Source organism: Homo sapiens, chromosome 10 (assembly GCF_000001405.40).
Source record: "Homo sapiens chromosome 10, GRCh38.p14 Primary Assembly".
Classification (NCBI taxonomy): domain Eukaryota; kingdom Metazoa; phylum Chordata; class Mammalia; order Primates; family Hominidae; genus Homo; species Homo sapiens.
The window spans coordinates 100,659,595-100,683,748 of NC_000010.11; the positions used below are offsets into that span (position 1 = coordinate 100,659,595).

General features: G+C 49.1%; 3 annotated features.

Annotated features, from left to right (window-relative positions):
• Positions 2,398 to 2,897: an enhancer, noted in NCBI's record as "H3K4me1 hESC enhancer chr10:102421749-102422248 (GRCh37/hg19 assembly coordinates)". NCBI's record gives its function as "activates a minimal SCP1, AML or CMV promoter by ChIP-STARR-seq in naive H9 embryonic stem cells {active_cell/tissue: H9 hESC(naive)}" and the evidence as "EXISTENCE:reporter gene assay evidence [ECO:0000049][PMID:30033119]".
• Positions 11,497 to 11,676: a silencer, noted in NCBI's record as "silent region_2708". NCBI's record gives its function as "represses an Ori minimal core promoter by ATAC-STARR-seq in GM12878 lymphoblastoid cells {active_cell/tissue: GM12878}" and the evidence as "EXISTENCE:reporter gene assay evidence [ECO:0000049][PMID:35858748]".
• Positions 21,024 to 21,635: an enhancer, noted in NCBI's record as "H3K4me1 hESC enhancer chr10:102440375-102440986 (GRCh37/hg19 assembly coordinates)". NCBI's record gives its function as "activates a minimal SCP1, AML or CMV promoter by ChIP-STARR-seq in naive H9 embryonic stem cells {active_cell/tissue: H9 hESC(naive)}" and the evidence as "EXISTENCE:reporter gene assay evidence [ECO:0000049][PMID:30033119]".

Below are 24,154 nucleotides of genomic sequence, written 5' to 3' on the forward strand. Positions count from 1 at the left end.
CTTTGCAGATGGCGCCGCTATTGCTGAGAAATGGATTGCTTAATAAAGCGTATCATCCGGCATATTTGCTGCTTGGCTAGCCAAATAGAAGTTGTTTTTTGCACAAATTTCCTTGTCAAATTTGTCAATGTTCATGTCATTTTTGCTTTAGGTCACAGAGCAAGGTGCAAATTCCTGGCATCTTTACTAGTTGCAGCCAATTTCGGCGATTTCGGCGGTGACGGGGATTCTCAGAGGAGCCGCGTGCCCGTGCGCTCCCGCCTGTCGGCCCCAGAGAGCGCAGCCCTGACACCTCCTCCCGGAAGCCCGCCGGCCCGACCCTGGTTTGGAAGGAGAGGCTCAGGGAGTGGGACAGAGGGTATCTCTCTTTCCCCAGCGTCCACCCCCAGACGCCTCCTACCCCCAACCAGGGAGGTTAGAGGGGCAGATGGGAGTACGAGGCTTACACCCAGCTCTCCTATGCCACTTCCTCTCCCTAAGACGTGGCCTTTTCCCCATCTTCCTTTGACTCCTTGAGTTTCCAGTGGAAACGGAGGAATCTGTGGGAAGGGGAGCCCTCTTCTTGTCCTTTCATGAGAAATTTCAGCTCCCAGGGCCCCAAGACCCCACCCACACTCCATTCCAAAGCCAGATTAACCTATCTCCACCTTAGGAGAGGTTTACTGAAGGAAGGCAGTGGGTGGGAGAACGTTGTCCAGTTCCCTCCTTCCACACACTCCAGACCCACTTTGAGGGAGAGTAGTGGACAAACAGGTATATGAGGTATGGGAGCGGGGTAGGAGGGGATAGGTGAGAACACAAACAAGCAGGCTTTCTTGGGAGATCTTTTCCTCCCATTTGAGTTTCAATCACTCGGGCTGGGCTGGGCCTTTCTCAAGCAAATCCTATGAAAAACAGATCATCCTGAAGGTCACTGAGAGGTTTAGGCAGTCCCGAGCCTGGTGTGGGGAGTTTACTCGATTATTTCCTCCCAGCTAAAGTCAACAGCTAACACTGGGGAGTGCTCATGCATGCCAGGCTCTGTGCTAAGCCGGTGACCCGCATTATCTCATAAAATCATCATTTCAGCAAGCCCATGAGTCTTTTACAAATATTCTCCCCATTATACAGATGCAGGCTCAGCTCAAGGAAATCAGCCCACTTGGAGAGTGTGGATGAGGTTTGGGGGCCTGTGATGGTAGGTGGGCTGATGAAGGGGATCAGGTCGGGGGTGGGGTGGGTGGGAATGGTAGGGAGAGGACTCCCCTGAAGCAGGCCTGGCAGGGTCCCTGAAAGCCTGTCCCAGTGTGAGCTCCCTGGAGGGAAGCTGATGTGGGGAGGGGATGTGGACAGTGTTCTCTATGGGAATTGTGCATATGAGGACAGGCAGGAGATCCGGGGACATGTATGGGAGAATAGACACTGAGGACACTAATATGGGAAAGGGTATATTGTGGGTAGGATCTGAATAAGTCAAAAGGGATGCGTGTGGGGCAGGGCATGAGGACAGGTATAGGGAGCAGGCAAGTAGAGATGGGGTATGAGGGCTGGTATGTGGAGTTGTGGGTGTGGATATGGGCATGTAGGGACAGGTATGAGTGTCAGGAGCATGAAAAGGGTGTAACAAGACAGTTGATGGTGACACTAAATTCCAAGGAGTTGGCCATATCTGTGTTGGCTGCTGTATTCCCCAGATCCAAGCTCAGTGCCTAGCACATGGTAGGGGCTTAGGATGTCGTTGTGTAATGACTGAATGGGGAAAGAGCTTGGTTGGGTACAGGTGTTCTTGGTTAGGAGGTGGGCAGATTTACCATGAGATATTCTAGGAGAGTTTGGGTTCTCTATTCAGCCTCTATGCACTGGGCCAGGCTGGGGAATGGTCAGACCTGCTTCCCTGGAACAGGAGACCAGCCCGGGATGGGAGCCCAGTAAACTGGGGGCTGCAAAGCATTGGATGATGTCGGGCGGGGGTGGGGTGGGGGTGGGGGAGGACTGCCGTCAGATTATTAATGGCCATGCGTTGACTCAATTAAATCCAGCCTGCTTTTGTTGGCAGGCCTCCGCAATTATGCATCTCATTATGGGCGGCCGCCCAAATGCATCCTGGGAGGAGACCAGAACTCCAAATTAACTTTTCCTGGCGCTGCGGGGGCTGGTTGGCCGGCACTGCCTGCATGGCAGCCAATCAGTGTTGGCTCCAAGGGGGGCGGGGTCATAAGAAGGACGAAGGTGTGGGGAGGGTAGGCTGCCCTGCCTGGGGTGCGTCTAGAAAAGATGGGCTAAAGACCTGCATGTTCATCCAGAATAACTCCCATGCCCAAGCCACCCCCATCTCCAGCAAGAAGCCGGCCTAGGTGTTTGGGTTCAGTGTTGGAGGGAGTCTTGTCCTTATCCCTCAGTGGAGGAGATCACCCCAACAGGGAGTACAGAGAACCAGGTGCCCTTGGTTCCCCCACCTCCCCAACCATGCACGACCCAAACTAAATCAACGTGACTCCAGAATTACACCAAACCCACAAGAACCAAGGGAAGTAAGGGGTAGCAGTGTAGAGAGGGCGTCCTGCTGGGTGTGGGGAGGCCACTCGGGAGGTTGGCCAGATTGGCTCCTGCCCTGCTGGGTGTCGCCTGTGTGTCAGGGTGTGTATGTTTGTGTGTGGGTGTGTGTGCGCAAGCCTGCTCACAGCCTGCCTCTGCAGTTACACCACCAGTATAAAGCGCTTCATTAACCTGTCAATCAAAGCCCGCTTCTCTCCAGCTCTCAGGCTCTGCCCTGCATCAGCCCATGCTACGTGTGTTCCTGCACATTGTGCCACCCTGGGACCACTTGGCATTGCCCAGCCTCCCCCTACAGAAGCATGGCTTCTGTTGCCTCCCCAAAACCCCCAAATGTTCATACCTTACCCAGGAGAGCCTGGGGCCTGTCGCCTGTGTGTGGTATGTGTGTATGCAGGTCAGTATCTTATTGTGTGTGTGGCCTTACTCCAAACCATGCATTCGTGAGAAATGGCCGTTCTAAAAACCAGAGCAAACTGGAGGTGTATGAGGTCCAGCTCTGAGCTGTGTGCACTTGGACTTGCCACCTTCCCTCTCTGGGCTTCAGGGGCCTCATCTGCATGGTGGTCTGGTTCAGACTAGATGATCTCTACTCTTCTTCCTTCCGGCTTTCTGAGTTCAGGTGAGTGTGACCTTCAGAACTGTACACACATGTGTATACAGGTGTGTGTGTCCTCTCCCAGCTGTTTTTCCTCCCAGGTTGCTGAGGTGCTGGGGCAGAACCACCAAAGCCCAGAGGCTGCTCTTGACCTGGAAGGGGCATGCATTTCCAAGATTCCACATGGCACCATCGACTGGAGCCCACTATAGAAACAGACATACTCACTCACGTCCACACCCACTTGCTATGACCAAACTCTTACAGGCTGCAGACAGCATGCCTAAAGTGGGCACCCATGCAGAGGCACACCCAAGCAGGTGTGGGCCCAGACAGTACCCACCCTTGTCGAGAGTGCCTCCAGCATTCAGGATCACCTAAAGATCCCAAGCTTCCCAATTTTGGGGGCCTGGCCTTGCTCCCACCTGCCAGGCCCATATAGGGGAAAGAGGCGATGTTTTCCACGACAGGGGAGGGCTCTGCTCACCCCACTTGTGGTTTCTTTATTGTGCGTTAATGAAACCCTGTTTCTTCTGGGTGTTTAATTCTTTCCATCTATTATGTTTAGACAACTCATTAACAATCATTCATTATAATTAGACTTCAATTTTAGGCTTCTTTCTCAGGGGAGGTAATGCAGAGCTTTTACACATATTTGCATCATAAACAGCTTCCAAATCTCTGGGTGTCACCCCTGCCCTCTCCGACACTGACCACTGTCCCTGCTTTTCTCTCCTTCCTTCCCTCCCCTCTGCCCACCCCTGCTCCCAATATAGGGTTGAGGGTGGAGAAAGGGGAGCTGAAGAGTACATACACGGCCTCAGATCCTGTTGCCCCCAGAGTCCGTCTGGCCTGGGCCTGGGCCTGGCCCTCGCTGAATGACTCAGATGTGCCAAAAGCAGGGAGTGGGCTGCCCTAGAAACACATTTGCCCCAGTAATCACCAGGCTGGGACACCAGGCTATCATGCTCCCAAGCTCTCACCCAGAGCTGCTGGCTCTTTGAGTGTCCCCATGTCCCCGTCTCTACTGAAATACATGCAGATATGCCTGCCCTGTAGACACATGCAAGCAAGTGTGTACACCAGACACATACAACCACCTAGGGAAGGCAGAGGGAGTCTCTCATGGGGATTTTTCTTCTTCCAATTCTAAACTGAGACACTGGCTCCCACCATCACACCTCCCCCCAAATTCCTTTTAGTTTAAGGATGCCCATGCCTTTCAGTCTTTACTTGCAACATCATAGGATCTCTATTTGATGAGTGAATGTTTGTTGAGAGAATGAATGAATGAGTTTTAGTGGAAATGGCATGGGTATTATAGTTAGACAGACTAGGTTCACATTCCAGCTCTGTAACTGACTAACCATGTGACCTCTCTGAGCCTCAGTTTACTCCTCTGTAAAATGAGGATAATAACGTCTACCTTGCAGGGATTTTGTGAGGATGAAGAGAGCTAACTAAAAATGTAAAGTACCTGGCATTTTATAGGTACTTAACCTATGGTAACTATAATAATTAATACTAGTGAAGTTTGTATTAATAACTTATAAGTAACCATAATAATCCCAGGAAGAGGCCCCTGGGTCATCCTGTGCAACTACCTTTCCAGTGGGGCAGTCTTTTCTGCAGCATCCTCAATGGGCGCTGCTTGATTGTATCCATGGAAGGGAGCTCAGCTCTGTCCCTTTCTATTATTGGGCAGATCTCCTTACGGGAAAGATTTTTCTTAGATCCAGTTACAATCAACCTCCTTGCAACCTTCCCCATTAGCCCTGGAGCGTGCCTTTGGGAATCTGCTTGCTCAGCAATGGATACCCTGAGAGGTCCCCACAGGGGAGAAGAGAAGGGGGCAGGATGGAGGGCAAATGCCATGATGGGGCAGGATGACTGGGAGAAGGAGGCTGAGAGGCTGATGGGAGAGGCAGTGAGTGGAGTATGGCTGGACCCCTCAGAGGCTGCAGGAACCAGAGGGAGCCACAGGAGGAGAGACAGAGACAGAGAGGGGACACCGGGGGAGAAGGATTTTCTATCAACAAAACAGCAGGACAGATTCTGGCTGGTCTCTGGAAACATCTTCATCTGGTGCCTGAGGCCAGCTCTGAGCTCCTTTTAGCTCATTACTGGCAATTAGTCCTCTGGGCCCAGCCTGGGGGAGGGGGACACTATTAGCTCACACTCCCCTGGACACACACACACACCGTGAATCAAGTTGACAACTTTGCCCCGCCTGTCCTCCTTACCCTGCTCTGTGTGTGGGGTGGGAAGCATGTGTCCACATGGATGTGTGAATGCATGTATATCTACATGAAGATGTCACAGGGCAGACAGTGTGAGTGCATGTGTCTGGCCTGTGGGAATGTGAGATTGTGCAAAAGAGCAGGAAGTGTGTGTGCATGCATGCATGCCCTGTGGGAGAAATGGGAATGTGTAAGTGAGTTTGTGAGGATTGAAAATCTAGGCCGGGAGCGGTGGCTCACACCTGTAATCCCAGCACTTTAGGAGGCTGAGGCAGGTGGATCACAAGGTCAGGAGATTGAGATCACCCTGGCTAACACAGTGAAACCCCATCTCTACTGAAAATACAAAAAATTAGCCGGGTGTGGTGGCGGACGCCTGTAGTCCCAGCTACTCGGGAGGCTGAGGTGGGAGAATGGCGTGAACCCGGGTGGCGGAGCTTGCAGTGAGCCGAGATCACACCACTGCACTCCAGCCTGGGCGACAGAGCGAGACTCCATCTCAAAAAAAAAAAGAAAAAGAAAAAAGAGCTGTATGTAGGAAGCTGTGACTGTTACTCCTGGGCTTCTGTGTCCACAAACATCCTGGCCTGGGTGGTTGACATCTGGGGCTGGGTTTCAGGAAAGGAAAAAGAACAGGCGGATCTTGGCATTCCTACCTCAGCTCCATCTCAGAAAGTTTGGTCCTTGGGGAGCTCCTTTCTCTGAAGTGGAAAACTAGAACATCATTGGGGTGAATCCCAGGGAGGACACCCAGAATTTGCTCCTCCCTTTAACCCTTTCCTTCCCAGATGCTTTAGCCTAGCACTGTTCAATAGAAATATAACGTGAGCCACATATGCAATTCAAAATTTTATAGTGACTACATTTCCTCTTTAAAAGGTTAAAAAAAAAGGTAAAACTATTTATTTAGGCCTGGTGCAGTAGCTCATGCCTGTAATCTCAGCACTTTGGGAGGCCCAGATGGGCGGATCATGAGGTCAGGAGACTGAGACCATCCTGGCCAACATGGTGAAACCCTGTCTCTACTAAAAATACAAAAATTAGCCAGGTGTGGTGGCATGTGCCTGTAGTCCCAGCTACTCATGAGGCTGAGGCAGGATGAGGTACGAGAATCACTTGAACCCGGGAGGGAGAGGTTGCAGTGAGCTGAGATCATGTCACTGCACTCCAGCCTGGGCCACAGAGTGAGACTCTGTCTCAAACAAACAAACAAACAAAAAACCAAAAACCTATTTCTTTATTTATTCTAGAGATGGGGTCTTGCTTTGTACTCCAAGTTGGTCTTGAACTCCTGGACTAAAACAGTCCTCCTGCCTGGGCCTCCCAAAGTGCTGGGATTACAGGTATGAGCCACTGCATCCAGCCTACTTTTTAAAAACATACTTATTGGCCAGGTGCGGTGGCTCAGGCCTGTAATCCCAGCACTTTGGGAGGCTGAGGTGGGCGGATTACTTGAGGTCAGGAGTAATCCTGACCAGGCTGTGACCAGCCTGAGACCAGCCTGGCCAAAATGGTGAAACCCCGTCCCTACTAGAAATACAAAAATTAGGCAGGTGTGGTGGCGCATGTCTGTAATCCTAGTTACTCAGGAGGCTGAGACATGAGAACCACCTGAACTCAGGAGGCGGACGTTGCAGTGAGCCAAAAATGTGCCACCATACTCCAGCCTGGGCAACAGAGTGAGACTCTGTCTCAAAAAAAAAAAAAAGTCGTTATTTATGTTTTCTTTTAGAGATGGGGTCTTGCTATATTTCCCAGGCTGGAGTGCAGTAGCTATTTACAAGTGCAGTCATGGAGCACTGCAGCTTTGAACTCCTAGGCTCAAGCAATTCTGTAATTTCCCCACCTCAGCCTCCAGAGTAGCCAGTTGACCATCAAGCCAACTTTTTGTTTGTTTTTAGAGACAAGTCTTGCCCTGTTACCCAGGCTGGAGTACAGTGGCGCAATCATGGCTCACTGCAGCCTCAATCTCCTGGGCTCAAGCAATCCTCCCACCTCAGCTTCCAGAGTAGCTGGGACTACAGGCATGCACTACCACACCCAGCTAATTTTTAAAATTTGTTTTAGAGATGGGGTTTTGCTATGTTGCCCAGGCTGGTCTTGAACTCCAGGCTCAAGAAATTCTCCTGCCTGGGCCTCCCAAAGCGCTGGGATTACAGGTGTGAGCCACTGTGCCTGGCCCCAGCTTAATTTTGATAAGATATTTTATGTAAACCAATATAGCCAAGTTAATATCATCTTAACATGTAATCAATATTTTGTAAAGAATTAACATGTTTTACATTTTTCATAGTAAATCTTTACAAATTGGTGTGTATTTTTCATTTACAGCACATTTCCATTTGGATGAGCCACACTTCAAGTGCTCAATGTCACACGTGGCTAGTGGCTACCATATTGGGCAAGACAGATCTGCAGCCTGGCTTGGCTGGTTTCCCACAAGCCAGTGAAGGGTGGCGTGTGTGCTGGTGGGGGCTGGGGGAACAGGGAGCAGTGAGGGTTGGAATCACTGCACTCTTCATTCTCTCTCTACCTCAGACCCTGCCCTTGCGGAGCCTTCGGGCTCCTTTCCCCACTGATGGTCACAGCCTAGACAGGTGGATTCAATGTTGGAGTCTTCCTCGAGGAAGTTCTTCCCTTTGTGTTGCTTCTGAGGTTCCTACTGCAGGTGACAGCCAACCCTTTCTCATGAGGGCCCCCTCATCCTCTTCATCAGAGAGAATCTGGGGTGGGAGGAGAGAATCACATAGAAACTAACTGGGCAGGGCGTGGGGGGTGATGGGAGACATGACAGGCTAGAAAAGCCCCAAGTGCTGAGGAGGAGCGGGGAGGGAAGGAGGGGTGGGTGGCTTAGGAAATGACCACAGAGTAAAGGCAGCATTTCTAAAAGGTGACTTTTCAGTACCTTGTCCCCCTTATTCTTTTGAATTTTCTGTCTCCTCAGCCTCTCAGATATCTTGGGCCCATCTAGACCGCCCCCTCGTTTCCTCCCATCCCTTCATTTCCCTCCTGCTCAGCCTCTCATCACCTCCACCTCCTGGCCTCAGTCTCTCTCTGTCCATCTCTCTCCTTCCTACCCTTCACCTCCTCAGCTTACTTCCTGCTCTCAGACTTCATCCTCCACATGACCCCCCAGCCCAGGGTGATGGGGCTGGGAGGAATTTGGGGAATAGAGACCTGGAATGGGGTATGAGACCTGAGCCGGCAGCATCTCCAGGAGAGAGAAGGAGGCAGGACCCTCCCAGTCCCCTCCCATCCTCTTACCCCTCCTCCCGCCCCTCCCCCCACAGGGCTGCAGTGATTCCACAGTCTCGGGGCTTGAGGGTCTCGGGGCCCCTCGCTAATGTAAGGTTATTGTAATTGATATGAAGGTAATTGATAATGTGTTACGGTGAATAATGTCTTCAATTTTCTGCTAAATCCCATTTTTTGTAGCCATCTGGGCTCCTCCAACTGCCCCCCTGGGACGCTGGGTAATAGAGAGTAATTATTCTCAAGTCATTTACTTTTTCAAAGTGTTTAGTGCTTATCTGTTTTACAATTAAAATGGAAACGACCCTGATTCACTTCCTTTCTTTTTCATTTAAATAGCACTCACCCCCCCACACCCCCACCACACACTCTCAGTCACACACAACCACACGGGCACACAACCCTCCAACACACACACACACACACACACACACACACACACACACACACAGAGTCTTCTTGTATGCGGCAACATGTCCACATTCAAAGACTTAGAAATACATGCATATTTTCTTTGTCAGTCACACACACAGGCACACATATACAACTTTACATGCAGACAGGGACACAGCCTCAGTGACCCAGCCATACGTACCCTTTGCCATTCTCCTTTGGAGTGAGAGGATGGGGGTGGGCATGGTCAGGGTGGAGGACGGGGGAAGGAGATCTTGGATATGTGTCTGAGTGTGCAAGGTGATGTTCGAATGTGGAAGGTGAGCATCTGTGTGTACACTTGAGTGTGCTTGGCATGTAGAATTCAGAGTGTGGGTTCATATGCAGCTAAAATGTGCAAATTTAAAGCAGTCGTGTGAGAGCAAAGTCACAACTTTGCTTTTGTGTTTGAACATGAGTTATTGGTGTATGGAGTGTACGGAGCCAGTGTTCATACCCAGTAACACATAACGAAGGTCCGGGCGGTGCAGCCCCAGCTTGGACACGCCGTCCTCAGGAGGGGGCGAGAGAGGGATCCAGAGGCGCCTGGCCCAGGACCCAGAGAGCCCTCCACCTCACACGATGAAATTCAACCCATTTATATTTCAACAGAAAATGTCACAGAAAATGTCCCCTGGTGGGAGAGACGCCAGGGGAGGAGGAGTCAGGAAGTGAGAACAGCTCACACCAGCCCCTCATGCAGCCCCACCCACCCACTGGCTCCTCCAGCTGTCCTTCCTCTCCCAGGACCCTCTCTCTGACCCCCCTCACTGACCCCTCCACTGCTTGCCCCTCAAACCCTTCAAAGGACCCTCACTGAGCCCTGGTTCTGGTGTCAGGCATGGCCCTCCATGACCAGAGAGCTTCCTGCCCTGCCCTGGGCGGTTCCCCACTGGGGGTGCTCTATGGCCACAGACACCTGCATGAGTGAGGCACTGACCTATGGGAACCAAAGCACGACATCACACACCTCAGATCCTTCCACATGACCAGGCACGACTTCTCTCCACTGTCACACGGGCCCACGGGAGGACAACTGAGCCCCTGCACTTGTGAGAACACTTCAGGCTCACTGGGGTCGCCTGCAGTGGTTTAGGGACCTGCTTCCCACTGTACAGATGGAGAAACTGAGCCGCGGTGTGGGCCAGCATGGCCATGGGGCCCGAGACGCTGTGAGGCCAGCAGTGGCCTATCTGCTTTGCTGTGACACCTGCTCTGCTGTCCCCAAAATCTCCTGCTTCCAGGTCTCCATGCCTTTCACACATTCTGCTGCTGGACCAGTGATGAGGGGCATGAGACCTCCCCCTCCTGGATAGGCTGACCAGGCAAGGCCCGCTAAGGTCCAAAGAGGACCAGGCTGTGGGAGTGAGACCCTAAGCTGGTGAGCACCATTAGCAGAGCGTGCTGTGGGTTCTGGTTTTAACTTAACTTTTTAAAAATGCGGGGTGGGAGGGCTGCCATTTATGGGTGGAGGGTGCCTCTTTCTGCCTTTTTTGGTGTCTCATACTCTGGGCATCTGCCTTGGCCTCCTCCCTTCTGTCTTGGAGTCTGTTTTTCCACAGTGGTCTTTTTTTGGTTTCAATTTCTGCTTTGTCTTGTTCTATGTGTCTTTGGGCTCTCTCTATATATACACGCATGTACGTATATCTCTCTCTCTAAATTTGAGAGAGAGATAGATAGATAGGGAGATGGATATATCTATATATCTATGGATATATCCCTGTCTGTCTGTCTCTCCCCTTTCCCAGGACCCTGTCCCCCTGCTCCGAGCTGTCTGCCTGGCATCTGCCTCCCTCTCTGCCTCTGGTGCCCCTATCAGTGTCTCTCACTCTGTCCCTGTCTCTCCCTCCGTCTTTGTCTCTGCCTCTGTCCCTGTCCTGTGGCTCCCTCTGTCCCTGTCTCTCCCTCTGTCCCTGTCCTGTGTCTCCCTCTGTCCCTGTCTCTCCCTCTGTCCCTGTCGCTCCCTCTGTCCCTGTCGCTCCCTCTGTCCCTGTCCCGTCTCTCCCTCTGTCCCTGTCCCTGTCTCTGTCTCTGCCTCTGTCCCTGTCCCTGACTCTCCTTAGGCCCCTCCCTGACTCAGGCCCCTCACACCTTCCGAAAAGTAAACATTTAATTTTTTTTTTTTTGCTGTTAATAGATTTAATGTTCATTTGTTGGTAGCCCAGGGGCAGAAACGCGTGACATTTCAAATAATTGTTGTTTCAGGGGTATCCTCTGGAGGGAAATGCGGCAAAAGTGTGGAGAAGATTTAAGCAAATGACTGTGTCAGCTTCTATTTACTCCTGACAGGATCGCCGGGGGCACGGCTGCGAGATAACCATTAGCGCAGCCGCCGATAAAGCGGGGAGGCTGCATTTCCAAAGGCTCCGCGGCCATTACGGGAAAGTTAGTGTGAAACATGTTAAATTATCCCCAAAGTGGAGGGAGCGGGGGAGGCGGCGGGGGAGCGGGCGCCCGAGAGAGCCACGAGACCCGCCGCCTCCGCCGGGGCCGGGTGACTGCGCCGTGCCCGACACGCCGACGTCCACCAGGGGGCGGCCGCGTGCGGCCCGAGCCTCGGTCTGCGGGTCCGGAGGATGGGCTGGCGGCCCGAGCCTTCCTCGCACCTGCGGGCGCGGACCCACCCGAGGCCGCCGGCTCCGGCTCCGGCTCCCTGCCTGGCCCCTCTGCCCAGCAGGAGCAGCCCGGCACCCCCGGAGAGCGATAGAGAGGCGGGGGCCTGGGTGGGGTCGCCAAGATCAGCCCCATGGGGTCACAAGAAAAGGCCTCATTGTGAGGCTCTAGCTGAGGCTTGGGACAGTTCAGCCTCAGCTCTTTTAGAGCCTCTGCCTTGAAGACCCAGCTCAGGTCTCGGCGCGGTGGCTCACACGTGTAATCCCAGTACTTTGGAAGGCGGAGACGGTGGATCACCTGAGCCAGGAGTTCGAGACAAGTCTGGGCAACATAGCAAGATCTCGTCTCCAAAATTAAAAAAAAAATTTTTAATTTAAAAATCCACCTCAGGTGTGTGCAGGTAACACCTATATGTGCCAGTGCCCAGGTTTGTGCAACATCCTGAGACGTGAGTTCACCTCTCAGCTCTGCCTTAATTAATTGGGTGGCCCTGGGCAAGTCCTCTGGGCCTCAGTTTCCCCATTTGCAAAGTAGAAATAATATATCTGCCCCACATACCTCACTCCCTGAGGATTAGTTGAAGTAATGAGACTATGTAAAAGTGATCTGAGAAACCATGCAATGCAATACAAGTGACAAGTACTGTTATTAAGTGTTAGTTATTATTAACATTCTGCTGAGTCCACAGGGAATACCTGTGCACAAAGGCCACAGGTGGGTGCACCAGTGCATGGGAAATAGGATCCCGATCACAGCTCTCTCCGAGGTCGGGGGTCGTTTTTCCCACCCCTCCTAGTTTTGCTCCCGTTAAGCCACACTTCTGGTAAATTAATATCTATGGGCTAGCATGACAGAGGAAACAGTGTTCCAGGCTAGCCCCTGCAAAAGCATGCCTATAGCATGCCTGGACCAGAACAGAGCAATATTGGCTGAGAACACTGTCTAGGGAATCTCTAGAGGGACCATGTGAGGCAGGAGAGAGGAAGAAGGGGAAGAGGAGAACACCTCTCCCCTTTGTGGTAATGGTATCTCCAGACAGACATCAGACTAATTTTCTTTCTTTCTTTCTTTCTCTTTCTTTCTTTCTTTTCTTTCTTCTTTCTTCTTTCTTCCTTCCTTCCTTCCTTCCTTCCTTCCTTCCTTCCTTTCTTTCTTCCTTTCTTTCTCTCTCTTTCTCTCTGTCTCTCTTTTCCTCTCTTCTTTCTTTCTCTCTCTCTTTCTTTCTTTCTTTCTTTCTTTCTCCTTCTTTTTTTTTCTGATGGAGTTTCTCTCTTGTTGCCCAGTCTGGGTGCAATGGGAGCGATCTCAGCTCACGGCAACCTCCACCTCCCGGGTTCAAGCGATTCTCCTGCCTCAGCCTCCCGAGTGGCTGGGATTATAGGCATGCACCACCATGTCCAGCTAATTTTGTATTTTTAGTAGAGACGGGGTTTCTCCATGTTGGTCAGGTTTGTCTCGAACTCCCAACCTCAGGTGATCCACCTACCTCGGTCTCCCAAAGTACTGGGATTACAGGCAGGAGCCATCATGCCTGGCCCCTTTCTTTCTTAAAAAAGGAGGAGGGATGCCCTAAATATATTGAGATTGTGGCATCACTTACATTATATTTTAGCCCCTGACACCCATGAAATCCATTAGCAAGTCAGTGCCTTGAAGAGTGGCCATTTTTATCACATATTCATCCATTTTCAATACATTTTCAGATTTCCAGGAGCTCTGAAGTTCCCCTAAATTCGCCCAACATTTTTGAACCTCTCCCACAGGTCAGACCTACTGCAGGCAAAGGGAGATTGAGACTACCAGGCTACCCTTGCCTTCCCGGAGTTCACTGTTGAGGAGGGGGCTGATGTCTCCAAATGATGGCAGTTCCTGGTGAGTGCTGAAACAGAAGCACATACAGTGCTGTCTATTCAACAGGGGAGTGGAGAGTGACTTCCTGAGGATGTCTGGGCATTTGGGAGGTGGCATTTGAGCTGGAGGCTTGAAGGATGGGGCAGAGTTTTTACTAGGTGGTAGAAATGAACTACCAAATAATAATAATAATCCATGTGTACTCCCCCCTCCAAAACAACAAAAGCAACAAAAGCGATAGTAATGGCACTTAATCTGTGGCAGGCACTGTGGCAGGCACTTTGCACTAATTGCTACATTTGATTTGTTATTACAACCATGTGGGACAAATACTATTATGTACCTCACTTCATAGATAGGAAACTAAGGCTCTAAGAGACCCAGTAACTTGCCTGAGGCCACACAACCATCTAGCATTGAGATTAAATGAAGTTGAATGCCTCTCTCCCCTCCACCCCCCCATTCCAAGACCAACTTTGACAAAAGGCTGAATTTGCCTTTCACAAAGGTCATGCACCCCCTCTTCAACAACTCCATGTTCATTCAACTGTTCCCTGCATGTCTACTAGGTGTCACACATTGGGCTGGCGCTAGGGGTACAAAAATAAGATGTAGACCCCTATCCTCAGGGAATAGTCCAGTCTAGTAAGGAAGACCTACACTAGTTAATCAACCACATAACAAGGTGCAAAATGCAAGTCTGAGAAGCCCGAGATTGTGGCCATAGACATGAAGGTCAGTGGCAGGTACAACTTACAAATTTGGGGGAGACAGAAACAGTCAGATCATAGTAACAACCATCCTTGAAGAACGTCTCCTTTGCAGGGATAGGGGACAGGCACCTTCCAGGAGACAGATTCAGGTTCTTTTCCTTTTCCTTTATTTTTTGAGATAAGGTCTCGCTCTGTCACCCAGGCTGGAGTGCAGTGGCATGATCTTGACTCACTGCAACCTCCGCCTCCCAGGCTCAAGGGATCCTCCCACCTCAGCTTCCTGAATAGCTGGGGCTATAGACACACACTACCATGACCAGCTAACTTTTCTATTTTTTGTAGAGATGAGGTTTCGCCATGTCACCCAGGCTAGTCACGAACTCCTGGACTCAAGCAATGCACCAGCCTCGGCCTCCCAAAGTGCTGGGATTACAGGCATGAGCCACCTCGCCTGACCTGGGCTCTTGTCTTAAGAAAGAACTTTCTAATCATTACAGCTGCCTGAAACAGAAGAGACCTATTTCAAGACAGAGTGAGTTTCCTGCCCTGGAGGCATTCAAGTAGAGGCTAAAGCCCCCCAAAATGGGACTAGTGTGGGGAACAATGAAATCCTTGGCTTCTAGGATCACTTACAGACCCAAGGTTTTAAGGAGTGTGTCCCCAGAGGAGAATGATTTCAGGCACTTTCAGGAGGATTATTTTCACCAAGAAAGTAAAAAATGATTCAGGCTGCACACAGGGAACCTTTCTTATGGACATAGGGGCACCAAGGACAGAAGCAGGCCTAGGTTTTCCTCCCCACAGGGTGTCTCTGAAGCCACCCCAGTCTTGCCCAGCTGCCCCCCTCCCCTATGTCCAAGCCCACAGGTTCTCTAGGTGACCCCCATCTTCTCACTCTGGTTCCAAAAAATGAACACAGATCATTTGAACACAGGCAAGGGGCAGGGCAGGAGGAAGAGGACACAGTTTGCAGTTGTAGGGCATTTGGGATGCTACCATCAAGGTCACTGTGACTCCCAACACCTTTGCTGTGGAGGTGTAATCCTGGGCAGTTCCTAAGGAGCCACTCCCTTGTTCATTGCTGTGCTGTCTGTGCCAAGCAGAGACTGGCACAGAGAAGGCACAGCATGCAGAAAGCAGCTTTCTTTCTTTCTATTTTTAAAAAAAGACAGCCAGGCATGGTGACTCACATCTGTAATCCCAGCACTTTGGGAGGCCAAGGCAGGTGGATCACCTGAGGTCAGGAGTTCGAGACCAGCCTGACCAACATGGAGAAACCCCGTCTCTACTAAAAATACAAAAATTAGCTGGGCATGGTGGCGCATGCCTGTAATCCCAGCTACTCAGGAGGCTGAGGCAGGAGAATCTCTTGAACCCGGGAGGCGGAGGTTGCAGTGAGCCGAGATTGCGCCATTGCACTCCAGACTGGGCAACAAGAGCAAAACTCCATCCCCCCAAAAAAAAAAAAAAAAAAAAAAAAAAAGAGAGACACATCATCACTGTACAAATTGTAAACTATATAGAAAATATAAAGAAAGCCAGAAATAAAGCCCACTGGAGTCACAGAACCACTGTTGCTATTTTAGTGACCATCCTACCAGAAACATCTTTCTGCCTTTAAATAAACATATATATAGGTGTGCAATACAAACACACTAACATTGTATGTTCTGTTCCATAATCTACCATTTTAATCAATAATACAGCATGAACACCATTCTGTTTCAATAAAGAGAGCTATATGATTGTTTTAGTAGTTGCATTATAGTCCATTGCATTATGTACTGAGCCAGTCTTCTGTTGACAAACATCTAGGTTGTTCTCAGTTTTGCACTTTTAAAAAAAAATTTTTTGAGATGGAGTCTTGCTCTGTTGCCCAGGCTGGAGTGCAATGGCACAATCTCGGCTCACTGCGATGTCCACCTTCCAGGTTCAAGCAATTCTCATGCCTCGGCCTCCTAAGTAGCTGGGATTATAGGTGTGCACAACCACGACAGGTGAATTTTTGTATTTTTAGTAGAGATGAGGGTTCACCATGCTGCCCAGGCTGGTCTTGAACTCCTGATCTCAGGTGATCCACCCGCCTCAACCTCCCAAAATGCTGGGATTACAGGTGTGAGCCACCATGCCCAGACAGTTTTGCACTATTTAAAACACCCTGAGATGAATGTATTTGCAGACAGATCTTTTTGCACTTGTACAATTATCTCCTTAGGGTAAATTCTTAGAAATGGAATTATTGGATTCAGGCTGGACACAAGGAACCTTTCTTAAGGACACAGGGGCACCGAGGATATTTTATATTTGGGCACACACTGTCAAACTGCCTTTTCCAAAGGTTGTACCTCTGTATATTCCTATCCAAAGAGGTTATTATTAGTCCTTTATCCTTTGCTTAAATCAAGCTTGTCCAACCCATGGCCCGTGGGCCGCATGCAGCCCAAGATGGCTTTGAATATGCCCCAACACAACTTTGTAGGCTTTCTTAAAACATTTTATATATATATATACACACACATATATATACACACACACACACATATATATACACACAGATATATATACACACACACACACACACACACACATATATATTTATATTTAGCTCATCAGCTATAGCTAGTGTTAGTGTATTTTATGTGTGGCCTGAGACAATTCTTCTTCCAGTGTGGCCCAGGGAAGCCAAAAGATTGAACACCCGGGGCTTAAATGAATGAGCACTTTCTTGAAAGACAAAACAACAACAAAAACTTTGATTCAGACCAGTTTCCTGCCTTTATCTCTCTCTCTCTCTCTCTCTCTCTGTGTGTGTGTGTGTGTGTGTGTGTGTGTGTGTGTGTGTGTGGACACATCTGTGATTATGAAGGTCTAGGTAAGCCTTGTTTCCTAGTATAATTGTATATCTGTCTGTGTTCTCTGTATAATCATAAATCTCTACCTAGTAAGCTGAAGTCCTGAATGAATATTCTTAAGAAAGGGTTATATTCCCACCTCAGTGCGGGGATGAGGTCTGTTTCAGCCTCTCCAGCCCCAAGGATATTCTCCCATTGTCAGTCTTGCCACTATCTCTGAAGTCTCCCGGCCAAGGCTGTTAGGGAGAGGATAGAAAGGGAAGCTACACTGGGTTTGCCCACAGTGGGACCTCAAGTGTTAACTTCGATTTTCCTCAAAAGGTGTCCCTGGACTGGGTGCAGTGGCTCATGCCTGTGGTCCCATCACTTTGGGAGGCCAGGGTGGGTGGATCACCTGAGGTCAGGAGTTCGAGACCAGCCTGGCCAACATGGTGAAACCCCGTCTCTACTAAAAATACAAAAATTAGCCAGGCATGGTGGCATGCGCCTGTAATCCCAGCTACTCGGGAGGCCGAGGCAGGAGAATTGCTTGAACCTGGGAGGTAGAGGTTGCAGTGAGTTCAGTTGGAGTGCCACTGCACTCCAGCCTGGGCAACAGAGAGAGACTTCGTCTCAAAAAAAAAAAAAAAAAGTGCACCTGATACCGTGGCTGAGGGGCATAGAACCATGGTGGAAACAGTGCACTACAAGTCACTCTAGAGGCCCCCACAAGGGGAGGAAAGCGGTGAGGGTAAAATGTCTAAGGTTCTTCCTGCCTGGGGGGCCTGCTCTGCAGAACCCTCCCCTACTCTGCTCTCTCTGTCAGTATCCCTCACACATGTGTCACCTCTGCACTCACACATTCACATCTAATCCCACAACTTATATACTTCCCTTACAACCACACCCATACCCTCTTATTCTCACATAATTTGTCTTATAATTTTCACACCTTTACACCCACATTCTTGCACACAGCACATTCACAGAATTTGATGTTTACACACTCCCACCTACATTATTCACTCCTGTGCAGTCTCACACTGATATACTTCATCTTAAGGAAGTGTAGTCATGAGTTCCTTTCAGTCATTGTCATTTATGTTGTTGAAACCATACCCACAACCCTGCAACTCAACCCAACACTCTTCTTTCGTACATTCTCACAGTCCAACAGAATTCACAGTCATACTTTCACATTCTCCTCAAATCTCTTGAACACATGCAGTTACCCAGAGAATCTTACAACATCATAGCTCATCAGGCCGGGCACGGTGGTTCACGCCTGTAATCCCAGCACTTTGTGAGGCCGAGGTGGGTGGATCACCTGAGGTCAGGAGTTCAAGACCAGCCTGGCCAACATGGTAAAACCACGTCTCTACTAAAAATACAAAATTAGCCGGATGCGGTGGTGCTTGCCTGTAATCCCAGCTACTCAGGAGGCTAAGGCAGGAGAATCGCTTGAGCCTGGGAGGCGGAGGTTGCAGTGAGCCAAGATCACACCATTGCACTCCAGCCTGGGCGACAGAGCAAGACTCTGTCTCAAAAAAAAAAAAATCATAGCTCATCTAGTCTACCCTCCTTATTTTACAGGTAGGATAGCTGAGCCTCTGAGAGGAAAAACATGAGTTGATCAAAGTCATACAATCAGTTAATGGCAAGTTCAAGATGTTAACTCCAATCTCATAACTCCCACAATAGTGCTTTTTCCTGTGGCCAGAGTCCTTCCCTCTCGGTCTTCCTTTCAGTCCCCTGTGCCAAGCCCTCTGCACTGACTCTCAGAAACATTCAAATAGAGGAAGTCGCTCTTGGAAAGACCGGCAGCCGGGTAAGTGGAACAAGTATGCATTTGGAATACAAAAAGAGCCTGAGCAGGAATATCAAATAGCTTGTAGGCTTAGAGAGAATATATGTAAAACACTTGGTACAAAGTAGCAACTGTGAACACTTGTTGGGCACTTACTATATGCTAGGCACTATGCCAAGAACTTTATATATTATCTCATTTAAGTTTTATGAACTTTTAAAGTACGATTATTTCGCTATCACAGAAGAAGGAAGTGAGGTCCAGAGAAGTAAGTCACTTGCCTAAGGCCACTCAGCTAGTGAATTTTGAGACCAAGATTATGCCCTGCTCTGGTTTTCATGCATTATATTATGCTTCTTCCTTCAATAACAAAGGTCACTCTATTGAATCCTTACTTTGTGGCAGACTGTGTGCTATATATGCATGGTTTCTATGTATCTTTGCAGATAAGGAGACAGAAGCTTGGGGGGTGCTTAATGGACAGTATGTTTTATCATTATAGACAGGGAGATTCTAACTTCAAAAGCAAATTTAGCTGTATTTTGCCACAAGGTAAATTATTCAGTTCATGTAAATCTTTAGTGGATCTGATCATTCCCATTCTCATTCCCATTGATTGGTTTATTTTATTATTATTATTATTATTATTTTGAGACAGAGTCTCTCTGTTGCCCAGGCTGGAGTGTAGCAGTATGATCTCAGCTTGCTGCAGCCTCCGCCCCCAGGTTCAAGTGATTCTCCCACCTCAGTCTCCCAAGTAGCTGGGATTACAGATGTGTGACACGACACCCAGCTAATTTTTGTATTTTTAGTAGAGACAGGGTTTCACCATCCAGGCAAGTCTCAAACTCCTGGCCTCTTGTGATCTGCCCACCTCGACCTCCCAAGGTGCTGGGATTACAGGTGTGAGCCACCGAACCTGGCTAATTGGTTTATTTTAAGTCAATCTTCCTTCCTCAGATCTGTAATTCCCTGCAACTCCACCCCAGTGTATCACAGGAAGAGAGTCCCTGCTGTGATCATACACACAGTTGTTGACTTCCACTCACTAGATGAAGTCATATTCAGGCACACTTCTTACACATGCTGTAAGGCCACTGTGGCTTAATCAATTAGCAAGACCATTAGGAAATGGAGTCAAAATACGTGGGATCCAGTGCCATCCCTTACTAACTGGAAGACCTCAAGCAATTACTTTCTCTGCCTCAGTTCTTGCATCTGCAATACTGGAATGGTAATTCTTCCCTCCCAGCATTGTTCTGAGTTTAAAATGCTGTAAGATATTATTATAGAAAGGCTGGCATATAGTTAGCACTCAAAACTTACTACTCACAGTCTCCCACAAAGATATAATACCAGCGCCTCATACCAACCCACACAGAGACAGTCACAAAAACCTGTAGACAGGCCCCCATAACACACCAGACTGTAGACTTGCTCAGATCTGCTAGGGGGCTGTTAGAGTAGTTGAGAAAGAGGTTCTTAAGTAACCTTGGACAAGTCACTTAACAGCTCTTTTTTATTTATTTATTTATTTTTTTAGAGCGGAGTGTCGCTCTTGTTGCCCAGGCTGGAGTGCAGTGGTGCAATCTCAGCTCACCACAACCTCCACCTCCCAGCTTCAAGCGATTCTTCTGCCTCAGCCTCCTGAGTAGCTGGGATTACAGACATGTGCCACCACACCCGGCTAATTTTGTATTTTTAGTAGGACAGGGTTTCTCCATGTTGGTCAGGCTGGTCTCAAACTCCTGACCTAAGGTGATCCGCCTGCCTCGGCTTCCCAAAGTGCTGGGATCACCACCGCGATGGGCCAACATCTCTTTTTAAGAAAAAAAGACTAAAGACTTAAAAAACAAACAACCATAACCACAATACCACTATCACACCTACAAAATTGGTAAGAATTCATTAATATCATCAATTACCGAATTCATATCCAAATTTTCCTTTTTTTTTAACATTTGGTTTGTTCAAATAAGAAACCACACAAGTTCCACCCAATGATGTATTTGGTTGCTTTTTTCTTTCTCTTTTTAAAATGTGTATGAATCTCTTTTCCCTTTGAAGAACCTGGGTTATATGCTCAAAAGACTGTTCCACAGTTTAAAAAATTCACTTTAAAAAAACTTATTTTTAATGCACAAGTAATATATAAATGTACTATTGGTTGTGAAAAAAGAATAGAAAGGAAATCAGACACTACAGATGAAGTGAATGTCTCCCTTGACCATCCCCAATGCCAGCTCTTTAACCTAAATCTCAGTTTTCTCATCCTTAAAATGGGAAAACTTCCCTTCTTAGGGTTGCAGTGAGAATTAATTCTACAGAGGTTGGAAGCGCTTAGCTCATTGCATGCCTCACGTAATCGTTCAGTAGAAGTCGCCTGTAAGTATTTTTCGTCATTGCTCTGATGCCGGCAGACGCAGAAAAGCCGTCCGGCCCCGTGCGCGTTCAGCACCCTGGACAGAGGTGGCGGCGGCCCGCGCCCTCCCAGCCCAGCCCAGCCCAGCCTCCCCCGGCGCTTGGGCTGGGATCTGTAAATGAAACCGCCCGGCTTCCAGCGGGTCCGGTGCAGCCGGTGAAGGGGAAAGAAATCCGGGATTTTCCGAGCCGCCTGCTTCGGCTCTGCGTCTGGCGGAGACAATTACTCGGATACGCTCCGGCTGGCCTTCCCGAGGCCCCAGGTCATTTCAGATCTGGGCCCCGGTCCTTGGGCAGAAGCTGGGCCGAGAAGATCTGGAGCCGGTGCCTCAGTTTCCCGGATTTCCGCGAGGGAGGACCGCGGAAATCGCCACAGGAGACCCCCTGGGGATCCCTCCTGCAACCCCTTCCCTACACACACACACACACACACACACACACACACACACACAGACACAGACACTCAGCCTCCACTGCCCTTGGGAGTTGGGTTGGGGAGCGGGTGGCGGTGTTTGGATGGAGACAGCAGCCTCCTCCGGAAGCCGGCCCAGGGCACAATTAGCAGGGAGCGGAGACGCCCGCGAAGGCTGATTTAATTAGGTGACACGGTGCCAGGCAGGGATGCGGGGGGAGGGGAGAGCAGGGTCAAAACATTTTGTAAAAATCTGTTTCACAAACGTTGCTGCTCCCCTCGGGCCAGAGAGAGATTACTGCGTCTTTGGTGTCGATCAAGGCTGGCAAGAGGCAGCCAGGAGGATGGGGACATATCCTTCTCCTCAGCCTCCCTCTTTTGTCCAGTCTCCAAAACAGTCCCAGGAGCCATCAGCTCCTCTAGGGTGCAGGGTTTGGGATGACCTGGAAAGAGACCACTTTTATAAGGGGGAACAAAGTGCTGTCTATCTGATGCATACTCATCTCCCCAATATTCATAAGAATAATATTACCAGGAGTTGCTGGAAGCATCTACTTTCCAAATAAAGCTATCATTTGCTGAGCAAGTACTCTGCCATTACTAGCTGTCTGATCTTGGTTATTTATGTTCTGTGCCTCAGTTTCCTCATCTCTAAAACAGTAAGGACCCTTCTAGAGTGGATATGAGGAGTAAAGGAAGCCAATATGTAATAGTAAGCACTTAATAATGGTTTGTTTTGTTATTATTATTTTATTACTATTAGGTGCAGTCTAGTTGTTTGACATCTTTTGTCTCTATTCCTCACAACTCTATGGCATAAATATGATTGTTCTCATCTTATAGATGTAGAAACTGTGACTCAATGAGTTTAAGTAACTTGCTGTCACTGACCTGGTTAAGGGCAGAGCTAGGAATTAGACTCAGGGGCTGGGCACAGTGGCTCACGCCTGTAATCCCAGTACTTTGGGAGGCGGAGGCTGGTGGGTCACCTGAGGCCATGAGTTCCAGCCCAGCCTGACCAATATGGTGAAACCCCGTCTCTACTAAAAATACAAAAATCAGCCAGGTGTGGTGGCATGAGCCTGTAGTCCCAGCTACTGGGAAGGCTGAGACAGAATTGCTTGAACCCAGGAGGTGGAGTTTGCAGTGAGCCAAAATTGCCTCACTGCACTCCAGCCTGGGTGACAGAGCAAGACTCTGTCTCAAAAAAAAAAAAAAAAAAAAATTGGACTCAGAACTGTTTGGTATTAGAGCCTGTGCTTTTTCACCATCCCACACCTGAGCTGCCTCAGTTTCCCACTTGTGATCTTCTCTCAGTCCACCTTCCTGGATCCACCACCATAACTGTACATGCCTCGTCCCAACCATGTCTGGCACAGCCAAACCCACCTCCAGTACCCACAGATTTGTGTGGCACTGAGTAAAAGGAAGCATGCAGCACACGTGTGCACACACACGTACACAAATGTGCATATGTCACCAGAGACAGTCATACAGGATCACCCTCCCACAGAGAGAGAGACTACCAAACTCACTATCTCACTCAGAAGTAAAGCAAGCCATACACAAGTGCCTATCTGCCATTGGTCACATTCAGAGCACCCCATCACAAGGGAAAGAGGTTTCACACAGAGAAATAGTGACACCCAACATCACAAAAGAGATGTAATGTACAAATACACAGATACACAAGGTATGTAACACTTCCACATACAAACACACCAAAATAATAAGATATGAACAACTGTACACAGCCACATACACAGGAAGATAGGTTTTTTTTTTTTTTTGTAAGACACCATTTATACAGATACCCACAGAGATACAAAGTCACAACATAGCCACTGGCACACACCATCTCATGGAGAGGTATAGCTACACACCCACCATAACACCCACAATACACCCACACTTAACAGCTGTAGCCAGACATGATGTGACAGAGAAAGAAAATCAGTGAAAATCCAGTCCATATGCACACACTTCCTAGACACACCTGCACAGATCACTGAAGACAGGAAACCATAATCTCACAGGCACACAAACATACACACCGCCAGTCTCCTTTCAGACCCTCTGGGAAGCTGGCTTCAACCCAAGAGCATTCTGCCTCCTAAAGTCTTCAGGGAATGGGGGTCAGTTGACTCCCTTCCCCTCCCTTCTCCAAGCTGAGTTTAGGGCAGCAGGGACACAGTCCTCCAGCAGACATAGGGAGGGGACCCTGGGCAGCCGATCTTAAGGACACCTTGTCTAGCATCATATTTAGCCCAAACTGAGGCCAGCTACTGGGACTTAGGGGCTGTCCTTCCATCCCCCCAATCCATTTCCCCCACCATCCCAGCCTCATGCCCCAGCATTATTTTTCAGAAAAAGGCTGATGGATTTATCAACGACTCCTTCCCTGGGGAGCGAGGACTGTCTCCTCAAACCTCTCCCCCACCTGTTGTCACCT